This window comes from Homo sapiens, chromosome 9 (assembly GCF_000001405.40).
Source record: "Homo sapiens chromosome 9, GRCh38.p14 Primary Assembly".
In the NCBI taxonomy this organism is placed as follows: domain Eukaryota; kingdom Metazoa; phylum Chordata; class Mammalia; order Primates; family Hominidae; genus Homo; species Homo sapiens.
Genome location: NC_000009.12, coordinates 138,224,368 through 138,236,059, shown reverse-complemented (window position 1 = coordinate 138,236,059; position 11,692 = coordinate 138,224,368). Strand labels below are relative to the sequence as shown.

The window sequence follows — 11,692 nt, the reverse complement described above, 5'->3', positions numbered from 1 at the left end:
AAAGGGAAATGAAATTGTATCCTTACCTCATACCACATAAAAAATTAACTTACAATGGATCAAAGACCAAAACAGGTGAAAACTAAAAACTCTGGAAGAAAACGTACAGTTAAGCATTCATGACCTTACACGTAGCAATAGTTTCCTACATCTGACACCAAAAGCACAGACCACAAAAGGAAAAATAAATCAATTTATTTCCTCAAAATTCACAACTTTTACGTCTCAGAAGACATGAAGAAAAAAGTTGAAAGACAAAATGTTATAATAGGAAAAACAACTGTCTTATAGTATACTCTCAACACTCAACACAGAACACTTCTGTTACCAGATACATGGGTTTTTTTCCCCACACAGACCAAATCTTGGGTACCAGCTGCGTGTCCTACAGTGCAATCCAATTGTGACAGTAAATGGAGAAAGCATCAGACCCCACAGGCTAAGGGCTCAGTCCTAGGAATACACGTCATGCCCCTTGTCGCTTGCAAATTTAAATGACAAACACAAGGATGGTAAAAAGAAAGTGACTTTATGCCAGAGCTTAGCTGAAGGGAACATACAGGCTCTTGCCTTAAGGGAAGCGCTTCCACTTTCTGGGCAGAAAGCTGGGCTTTCGGACTTGCCAGAATGGCATGCAGGGGATGAGGTGAGGAGGTGCGGGGTCTATGGGACATGCTCTGATGTTTTCTCCATTAGGTGGTCTTGCTAGCACCACCACGGGCAGAGCCAGGTTGTAAATTGACTGTTGTCTGCTGCCAATCTACTGGTGGGGGAGAGATATGGAAGTGCCAGTTTGTTTCAAGGTTTGGTCCCTGGAACTTATAAGTAATCACACAGTTGGAAAAGTTTGCAGTATAGGAAGTGTCTGGTGGAGAGACAGTAAAGCTTATAATTGCATTCCTAAAGAGCTAAGTGCAGGAACAGCAAAATGGTAAAACTAATTCATTTCTTCTTTAAGAAAATATGGGTACTAAGTTACAAGACTGTAACCACTTAAGATGCCAACCACAAACAGTAGGTTCCCAGGTTACCTTCTGTCTGACTTTCCTACAGATTGGAGACTCCCACAACACCCTTATTGGGTTCAGCAATTTGCTACATCACATTACACAACCCATGAAAGCAGTGTACTTACTATTCCTGACTCATTACCAAGGATCTTTTAAACACTACAAATGAAAAGCCAGATGAAGAGATGCACAAGGTGAGGTATATGGAAGGAATGCAGGCCTCCCATGCCCTCGCCAGATATGATCCTCCCAGTATCTCTTGTGTTGGGAGAGCAACACAGATGCTCTCCCAACCCTGTCCTTTATTACACAGGCAGATTGGTTACGTCTGTGGCCATAGGTGATCAACTCAACCATCAGCACCTCTCCCCTTCACAGAGACGGGACGGGGGAAGAAATTTCAAATTCTCTCATGACAAGGTTGCTTCCCTTGGCAGCCAGCCCCACTGAGGCTGTCCAGGTGCCCCCAGCCATCAATCATTTCATTAGCGTACGAAAGACACATTACTTCGTACATTCCCAAGGCTTAGCGCTCTGTTTCAGGACACTGCAGCAGAGACCACACATTAACTCTTATTACGTTCCAACAACCTATAAAATGGAAGAAAATGTCTGCACATTAGATACTTCATCAGTGTCTGTTATCCAGAATGTATAAAGAACTTTTACAACTCCATAGCAAAGACAACCCAATCTAAAAATTGACAAAAGACACACTTCACCAACAAGCACATGAAAAGATGCTTAACATCATTACCATAATTAAAACCATAAAGAGATAACCCTTAACTCACACAAGAATAGTTATACTAAAAAATAACAAGTGTTGACAAAGATGTGCAGAAACTTGAACTCTTAAACACTGCTTGTGACAATATGAAATGGTGCAGCCTACGTGTAAAATAATTTGATGTTTCCTCATAAAGTTACAAATAGATTTACCATATGAGTTAATGATTCCATTCCTAGGTATATACCCCAAAGACCTGAAAACAACTGTTCAAACAAAAACCTGTATGCTCTTTAAATGTGTCAAGGTCATAAATATGCAGGAAAGTCTGGGGAACAGTTCCAGGAAAAGAAAACTGGATCCTAATAAAAAAAAAACAAAACACATTATACTCCCAAGTGTGGCATGAGGTAAAACTGAAGTGAGTTTGTGGACTGAATTATCATGTAGGAACAACGCTGATTTCCTGATCTAGGGGTTATGTGGTAGTTACCTGGGAGAGTGTCCATGCTTTCAGTACAATATACCGGAGTATTTTGTGGGACACTGCAAATCTGGTACAGCAATAACTGTTGGGGAATCTAAGGGAAGAAACAAGCTGTACTTTGTACTACTACTGGAAGTTGCCTAGACATATGACATTATTGGAAAATAAGTTACTTTTTAAAACAACCATGTCAATACCATGCCAGGAAAGCAGACACATCATCAAAATCCATTACAGAGGCTATAGTTCAGCCAAAGCTGTAAAACCCTTAACAAAGTCTCAATGTCAACAGAGTCCACTTAGTAGATATTATTATATTTATTAGTATTAGAGGCCATTGTGTCAATATATTAGTGTTAGGGCATGGTATGGATATTTAGATTAGTGTTAGGGAACGGTGTGGATATTGTATTGGTGTTGGGGAATGGTGCAGATATTACATCAGTGTTAGGGCATGGTGTGGATATTATTGCATTAGTATTAGAAGAGATGGTGTGGATTAGATCAGTGATAGGGCATGGTGTGGATATTATTACATTAGTATTGGAAGCGATGGTGTGGACTAGATCAGTGATAGGGCATGGTGTGGATATTATTACATTAGTATTGGAAGCGATGGTGTGGATTAGATCAGTGATAGGGCATGGTGTGGATATTATTACATTGGTATTGGAAGCGATGGTGTGGACTAGATCAGTGATAGGGCATGGTGTGGATATTATTACATTAGCACTGGAAGCGATGGTGTGGATTAGATCAGTGATAGGGCATGGTGTGGATATTATTACATTAGTATTGGAAGCGATGGTGTGGATTAGATCAGTGATAGGGCATGGTGTGGATATTATTACATTAGTACTGGAAGCGATGGTGTGGACTAGATCAGTGATAGGGCATGGTGTGGATATTATCACATTAGTATTGGAAGCGATGGTGTGGACTAGATCAGTGATAGGGCATGGTGTGCATATTATTACATTAGTATTGGAAGCGATGGTGTGGATTACATCAGTGATAGGGCATGGTGTGGATATTATTACATTAGCATTGGAAGCGATGGTGTGGACTAGATCAGTGATAGGGCATGGTGTGGATATTATTACATTAGTATTGGAAGCGATGGTGTGGATTAGATCAGTGATAGGGCATGGTGTGGATATTATTACATTAGTACTGGAAGCGATGGTGTGGACTAGATCAGTGATACGGCATGCTGTGGATATTATCACATTAGTATTGGAAGCGATGGTGTGGACTAGATCAGTGATAGGGCATGGTGTGCATATTATTACATTAGTATTGGAAGCGATGGTGTGGATTACATCAGTGATAGGGCATGGTGTGGATATTATTACATTAGCATTGGAAGCGATGGTGTGGACTAGATCAGTGATAGGGCATGGTGTGGATATTACTACATTAGTATTGGAAGTGATGTTGTGTATTAGATCAGTGATACGGCATGGTGTGGATATTATTACATTAGTATTGGAAGCGATGGTGTGGACTAGATCAGTGATAGGGCATGGTGTGGATATTATTACATTAGTATTGGAAGCGATGGTGTGGATTAGATCAGTGATAGGGCATGGTGTGGATATTATTACATTAGTATTGGAAGTGATGGTGTGTATTAGATCAGTGATAGGGCATGGTGTGGATATTATTACATTAGTATTGGAAGCGATGGTGTGGATTAGATCAGTGATAGGGCATGGTGTGGATATTATTACATTAGTATTGGAAGCGATGGTGTGGACTAGATCAGTGATAGGGCATGGTGTGGATATTATTACATTAGTATTGGAAGCGATGTTGTCAACTAGATCAGTGATAGGGCATGGTGTGGATATTATTACATTAGTATTGGAAGCGATGGTGTGGATTAGATCAGTGATAGGGCATGGTGTGGATATTATTACATTAGTATTGGAAGCGATGGTGTGGACTAGATCAGTGATAGGGCATGGTGTGGATATTATTACATTAGTATTGGAAGCGATGGTGTGGACTAGATCAGTGATAGGGCATGGTGTGGATATTATTACATTAGTATTGGAAGCGATGTTGTGGATTACATCAGTGTTAGCGCATGGTGTGAATATTATATAGGTGTTAGGGCACGGTGTAGATATCATAGTAATGTAGAGCACAGTGTGATTATTATATTAGAGGCCACTGTAAGAATATATATTACTAGATCAGTGATAGGGCATGGTGTGGATATTATTACATTAGTATTGGAAGCGATGGTGTGGATTAGATCAGTGATAGGGCATGGTGTGGATATTATTACATTAGTATTGGAAGCGATGGTGTGGACTAGATCAGTGATAGGGCATGGTGTGGATATTATTACATTAGTATTGGAAGCGATGGTGTGGACTAGATCAGTGATAGGGCATGGTGTGGATATTATTACATTAGTATTGGAAGCGATGTTGTGGATTACATCAGTGTTAGCGCATGGTGTGAATATTATATAGGTGTTAGGGCACGGTGTAGATATCATAGTAATGTAGAGCACAGTGTGATTATTATATTAGAGGCCACTGTAAGAATATATATTAGCAGCCACTGTGTCTTGGACGTTGACAATGATATTAGGGTGTACTCCAAATAGTGAGATTTGGGGGCTTTATTTTTCTAGATGAATTTCTTCCTCTGCTGAGTGCTCTAAAGACTCACTCCTTGGCACTCAGGGCCGTGGACAGGAGCTTTTTACTCACCAATGAAGAACACCAAATTAACACGACCCCCGTGCTGCCCTGAGGAAGTTGAAGCTCCTCGCTGCTTCTGGCACTTCAGCGGGAAGTTGGTTGGGGCGGGATCGCGCGCCCTCTGGTGGCGCCATGGTTCAGCACAGACGCTCTTGCTCACAGTTTCGCGGCGGATGTGCGCCCCCTCCTGGCTGTCCTGAAATACCTATAAAATTCAATATTCAGTTTATTCAGTGTCATAATTTTGGAAATTCAAACCGAAATAAAGGCCAGTATATCCATACCCTTCCCATAAATGGTGATGGAAGAATTATTTGGAAGCCATATAGAATGAAATGACTCTATACACAAAGTAAAACACAAAAACCTACTCAAAATAGTCCAGAGACTACAACTTCAAATGCAAAACTATAAATAATCTAAAAGAAAACCTAAGAGACATTGGATCTGGTGTTGAGTTTTAACACACAGCATCAAGTGCCAATTCGTGAAAATACTGAGAACAGACTTTATAAAACTAAATTTTCTACTATGAAAAACCCTATTCAGAGAACAAAAAGACAAGACACACTGTCAGAAGATATTTACAAAATACAAACGTGATTTTAAAAACTGTATTGAAAATACACAAAGAACTCTTCAAACGAACACTAAGAAAACTAAAAACCCAAATAAAACTGGGTAAATATCTGAACAGACATCCAGCCAAAGAAAATATATAGATAGCAGGCCAGGTGTGGTGGCTCATGCCTATAACCCCAGCACTTTGGGAGGCTGAAGCGGGTGAGTCACCTGAGGTCAGGAATTTGAGATCAGCCTGGCCAACATAGTGATACCCCCTCTCTACTAAAAATACAAAAAAATTAGCCAGGCATGGTGGTGGGTGCCTGTAATCCCAGCTACTTGGGAGGCTGATGCAAGAGAATTGCTTGAACATCGGAGGTGGAGGTTGCAGTGACCCAAGATCACGCCACTGCACTCCAGCCTGAGTGACAGAACGAGACTCTATCTCAATAAAATAAAAAAAAAAAGAAAATATACTGATAGCACATAATCACACAAAAGGATGCTCAATATATCTCATTAGGAGACTGCAAATTAAAATAATGCTGAGATATCACTGCACACCTAGTACAACTGTGGGACTCTTAAAAAAGCTCAACAGTAACAATTGGAGGTTGAAGAACAATAGGTACGGCCATTCATTACTGGCAGAATGCATGAATGGGTACAGCCACTTTGGGAAATAGTTTGACAGTTTTTCCCAAAGATAAACAAGTCTTACCTTACAATCCAACAAATGCACCCCTAAATTGTGTATGTTTAGACAGCTGCTTTGAAAAATTATGTTCAAACAAAAACTAGCATGTAATTATATACGAGCCACTCTACTCATAATGGCCAAAACTTGAAGTAGTCAGAACGTTCTTCAATAGCTGAATGCATAATCAATTTGAAGTACAACCATGCAATGGAATACCATTCACCAACAGAAAGGAATGAACTGTCAATCCATGAAAACAAATGAATGAATCTTGCATCTATGTTGCTAAGTAAAGGGTGGCAGTATGAAGATGCTATACATTATATGACTCCATTCATATAACATTCTGGAAAAAGCACAACCAAAGAGATGATAGTCAGATCAGTGACTGTCTGGGGTGGGGATTTGAAGTATTCTGTATGCTACTTCAGTAGTGGATATCTGACACTATGCATTTGATAAAACCCACAGAATTTTAATGCACAAAGAACAAATCACAAGCTACACAAATTAAATTATTTAGGATGTGGAAGTATCTAAGGACAAAATACAGAGTGCAACCAAGAATCTAACTGTATTACCAATGTATGTTGCAAGTGGTGGGCCAAAGGTGCTGAGCTGGAAATGAGTAGAATCCATAGACTAAAAACAAAACGTACTATATACACGAACAGTGGACTCTATTTTATAAAGTTATTTCCCATAGGGATAATAGTTAATTTTGAAACTACTATATCTGTAAAAAGAAAAATAACCATGATTTTCCTCTATACTATCAACACTCCACTTTTAACAGCAAATTGTGGGGGGTGGGGGGTGTTTCCCATACCAACCAATATTCCAACTCTCTGGAAAACAATTGGGTATCCTGTAATTCAACTGTGACACTGATTACCTGGAGTTAGTATACACCCTACAGGTTAAGGGCTTAGTAACACCAGACTGTCCACAACCTCAGATGCCAATCACAAGTTGTGAATCCCCAGTTTACCCAAACTTCTATATGACTTGGCTAGAAACTAGGCATTCCTACACCCCCTCTTCAGGTTTGACAATTTGCTATGATGGCTTATGGAACTAGGAAATACTTACTTATGTTTACTAGTTATTATGGTCTCAATGTGTGTACACCCCCACCCCAAATTCCTATTTTGAAATGTAATCCCCAAAGGGATGGTATTCAGAGGTAACCGAGAGGTGATCGGATCATGAGAGTGCTGTCCTCATGAATGAAACCAGTGCCCTTATAAAAGCATCTAGGAGCCCGTTTCCCCATTCTGCCATGTCACGACATGCTAGAAGGCACTATCTATGATAGATGAGCCCTCACTAGACATCAAATCTGTCAGCCTTGATCTGGAACTTTCCAAATTCCATATTTTAGGAATTTTTATGGAAGCTTCATCATGTAGACATGACGGATTATTAACTCAATTTCCAGTCCCTTCACACCCTCAAAGGATTGCATGTTAAGCTAAAAGTTACAACCTTCTTATCATGGCTTGGTCTTTCTGGTGACCATCCCCATCCTGAAACCATCCAGGAACCCACAGAGTGTCCTTATTAGAACAGAAGCCATTCCTATTATCCAGGAGATTCCAAGAGATTTAGGAACTCTGCGTCAGGAACCAGGGCCAAAGACCAAATATTAGAACACAAGATGCTCCTAGCACCCCTACTGTTCAGGAAATTATAATAGTTTTAGAAGCTCTGTACCAGGAACTGCAGACACAGACCAAACATATATTTCTTATTAAGTCCCAACCTGGAATCTTGATCAAGAATGAATTCCTTGTTCCCAATGGTACAAGGGATGAAATAAATGGCAGATAGTAGGAGCCAGGTTCCTCACTATTACAGCGAGAAGTTACAGATAAAAAATAGGGAAGCCTAGAATGATCTCTGTCATAATGAGTCAGAATATATATATACAACGTAAGTATAAACTCACATTTAGCTTAACATATACATAGATGGTTCCACATAGAAACCTTTATAATTAAGTGGGTACATATAAGTTAGAAGACACACATATATTTCTTTGCACTGTCAGCTGTAAGTGTCATGATGCAATGACCACATTTAGTGGTCAGATGTAAGTTTTTCATACCATTCTCTAACAAAAGAAATCAGGGCTATTAGAAGAAATAGCTGAAACTAGGACTGGGACAGAAAATATATGAGCCAGGGTACTTTTGAAGTAACAGAAATAAATTATAAAAAAAACATGAAATTATGTAAAAGGAGCCAGTGGAAAGAGCTACCAATGGCCACAGGTATGAACAAAGAGCAACAAAATACTGTACAATTAGATAACAACCAAAAGATTAAAGTAACTATCTGTGGACCCATACTGGTATAAATAAATGATTAAACAGATATGCAAATGGGCTGAATAGAAATCTCTTATACAGAAGAATTCCAAATACCTGATACAGACAGCCATCAAGGAGGTGGGGCTAACTCCCCACTCCTTTAAGTATGAGCTCTGCATGATGACTTCCTCCAAAAGCATACATACAATATAGACATGGGAAAAAAGTAACTTTACAGTGAAAAACCTGAAAACACTGCCTCAACCAAGTGATAAAAGTTAACATTAATGGTGATAACACATCTTGAGAGCATGAAGTGACTAGACTAGCACTTGCAAACCAAAAATAAAATTCAAAGATCTTTCCCCCAACCACCTCTCCACCAGGGGACACCAAAGTTAACCTGGAAGACTGGTTCAGGCTATGATGGGAAAGAGGTGGTCAGACATGCCTCATTATGCCCTCCTCCCTTTTGGAATTCAGGAAAAGCCAATCAGCATTTAACATCAACACAACCTTAAATCTGATAAGAAACATTTACAATCTATTCTCTCTGAAGCCTGCTACCTGGAAGCTTCATTTCCATGATAAAACCTTGGTCTCCATAACCCCTTATCATAACCCAGACACTCCTTTCTATTGATAGTAAGTCTTTCAACAAACTGCCAATCAGAAAAATTTTAAATGTACCTATAACCTGGAAGCCCCCCCCCCACCCTAATCCATTGGGTTGTCCCACCTTCCTGGACCGAACCAATATATATCTTAAATACACTTGATTGATGTCTCCTATCTCCCTAAAATGTATAGAACCAACCTGCACCCCAACGACCTTGGGCACATGTTCTCAGGGTCTCCTGAGGGCTGTGTCAAGGGCCATGGTCACTCATATTTGGCTCAGAATACATCTCTTAAAATATTTTAGTCTTTGACTCTTTTTGTGGACACACTACACATCTGCTCTGCTTCCCCCAAACCCCTAAACCCAGGCTGATTATGAGAAAAACCCCAAGTGAACCACAATGGAGGACATTCTACACAATACCTGACCAATCCTCCTAACACTGTTCCAGGTCCTCAGAAGTAAAGTCTGAGAGATTGTCACAGCCAAGAAGAGCCTGACATGATGACTAAATGTCCTATGGGATCCTAGATAGGATCCTGGGAGAGAAAAAGGCAGAACTAAGGGAAACCAAATAAGATGTGAGCTTATTTAATAATATAGTAATATCCAGTCATTAAGTATGACAAGAAATGATGTAAGATGTTGGTCAGGAGTGGTGGCTCATGCCTGTAATCCCAGCACTTTGGGAGGCTGAGGCAGGCGGATCACCTGAGATCAGGAGTTCAAGACCAGCCTGGCCAACGTGGTGAAACCTCATCTCTACTAAAAATACAAAAATTAGCCGGGCATGATGGCAGGCACCTGTAATACCAGCTACTCAGGAGACTGAGGCAGGAGAATCGCTTGAACCTGGGAGGCGGAGGTTGCAGTGAGCCGAGATCACGCCACTGCACTCCAGCCTGGTTGAGACTCTGTCTGAAAAAAAAAAAAAAAAAAAAAAAAGATGTTAAACCTATCTGATACATGTTGGTATGTTAAAAAGCGGGGAAACTAGGTTGCGTCTACATGGGAAATCTGCATTTTCTTCCCAATTTCTGTATGAATCTAAAACTAATTTAAAATAAAACCTCTATTTAAAAATTGTAATTTTTTCAGATATCTGCTAAATTATTTGTACTAAAAATTAGTAATTGACAGTAACTACTCCTACTTTTAAAAATAAGAGCATTCATGATACTGCAAAGTAAATTATACAGACTAATATATACTTTCAAAGAAATGCCCCTTTTACATGTTTTATGTTAAGATAACATATATGTGTAAACATGGTCATATCATTTTCCTTATGGTGTAGTTCACTCTCTAAGAAAGCTGGTCATCTTAGAACCAGGGAAAAAAATTCACATTTTGGAGACTATTTCAATTTACGGCTGGACGTTTTCAAAGTATGACTTTGCGAAAAAAAAAAAGTTCAAATTGATTCATTGTGACTGGATCACTTATTCTAATGAATGCTTGCCTTTATTTTGTTTCCCAGCATTCCTTTCAGCTACGATACAAAAGAAGCAAATATTTGCCACTGGAAAAAATATTCAAAGACACTCTTAGGTTAATCTATAGCTGATGACAGTCAGTCTAGTCTACATAGCAAGCAGCTTCAAGATATGATTACTTAGCTAAGCGGGAAATGGGACGTGACTGCTGCCTCATTCCCACGCCTCTCTGGACCTGATAATTTAGAGGAAGCTCACATTCGCAAGATAAAAATTTTCTTTTCCTTCTCAGTATTAAATATGCTGTCACAATAGAAGAAAGCTTTACTGACTTCTTAAATGACGTGTTGAGACCGGAACCCTAAAATGATAGTTACTGAGGATAGTGCTAATGCCCTAAGACCGGAAACCTAAAATGATAGTTACTGAGAATAGTGCTAATGCCCTAAGACCGGAAACCTAAAATGATAGTTACTGAGAATAGTGCTAATGCCCTAAGACCGGAACCCTAAAATGATAGTTACTGAGAATACTGCTAATGCCCTAAGGTTTTAGTCACACCCTCACCTAGGCAGGAACCCAACCAAAAGGGGAGAACTGTGGAACAAACTACGGGAGGTCATTGTTTCGGTCACCACTCCCGCATTAGGCCACACTGAGCAGGCAAAACCAGAATGGAGACACTCACGCTGAATGACACACAACGAAGCTGAAACTTTAAGGAAGTAGACAGATCCCAAAAGATCTCCCTTTTTCCCTGAAGAGATTCCAGTCTACCTGAGTCAGCATAAAGAAGTCCCCTCTGCTTTAATTCTTACCAAAACAAGTAACTTGAAGTAATCTGATGTTAACAAATCAGTTGTTATTTTCTATTGCTCTATTTCCGCCTTACACAACACAGTGTTCTGCTATTGCCCAGAGGGCACTGAGACCAAATAAAACTTGAAAATGCCACACTGAAAGCAAATAAGTACTAATAACTCAATTTACAACGATAACAAAGAGTGACACCAATGCCCAAAGTTTTGATCAATATCTCAAAATTGAGAGGCTGACCAAAAGGGAGGAATTCTTACATCAAACAACATTTGGGCTCTAGAAGCCTCCC

At 39.7% G+C, this 11,692-nt stretch overlaps 1 long non-coding RNA gene across 1 annotated transcript in view, besides 4 other annotated features; it reads right to left on the bottom strand.

Annotated features, from left to right (window-relative positions):
- FAM157B (family with sequence similarity 157 member B) overlaps nucleotides 1-11,692 on the bottom strand; it is a 55,218-nt gene that overhangs the window by 36,014 nt on the left and 7,512 nt on the right. Inside the window, exon 5 of the long non-coding RNA NR_146178.1 lies at nucleotides 4,957-5,152. This is a non-coding gene — a long non-coding RNA (family with sequence similarity 157 member B). The remainder of the gene's footprint in view (nucleotides 1-4,956; nucleotides 5,153-11,692) is intronic.
- Nucleotides 2,444-3,009: an enhancer, noted in NCBI's record as "OCT4-NANOG-H3K27ac-H3K4me1 hESC enhancer chr9:141123501-141124066 (GRCh37/hg19 assembly coordinates)". NCBI's record gives its function as "activates a minimal SCP1, AML or CMV promoter by ChIP-STARR-seq in primed H9 embryonic stem cells {active_cell/tissue: H9 hESC(primed)}" and the evidence as "EXISTENCE:reporter gene assay evidence [ECO:0000049][PMID:30033119]".
- Nucleotides 3,010-3,575: an enhancer, noted in NCBI's record as "OCT4-NANOG-H3K27ac-H3K4me1 hESC enhancer chr9:141122935-141123500 (GRCh37/hg19 assembly coordinates)". NCBI's record gives its function as "activates a minimal SCP1, AML or CMV promoter by ChIP-STARR-seq in primed H9 embryonic stem cells {active_cell/tissue: H9 hESC(primed)}" and the evidence as "EXISTENCE:reporter gene assay evidence [ECO:0000049][PMID:30033119]".
- Nucleotides 3,576-4,141: an enhancer, noted in NCBI's record as "OCT4-NANOG-H3K27ac-H3K4me1 hESC enhancer chr9:141122369-141122934 (GRCh37/hg19 assembly coordinates)". NCBI's record gives its function as "activates a minimal SCP1, AML or CMV promoter by ChIP-STARR-seq in primed H9 embryonic stem cells {active_cell/tissue: H9 hESC(primed)}" and the evidence as "EXISTENCE:reporter gene assay evidence [ECO:0000049][PMID:30033119]".
- Nucleotides 4,142-4,708: an enhancer, noted in NCBI's record as "OCT4-NANOG-H3K27ac-H3K4me1 hESC enhancer chr9:141121802-141122368 (GRCh37/hg19 assembly coordinates)". NCBI's record gives its function as "activates a minimal SCP1, AML or CMV promoter by ChIP-STARR-seq in primed H9 embryonic stem cells {active_cell/tissue: H9 hESC(primed)}" and the evidence as "EXISTENCE:reporter gene assay evidence [ECO:0000049][PMID:30033119]".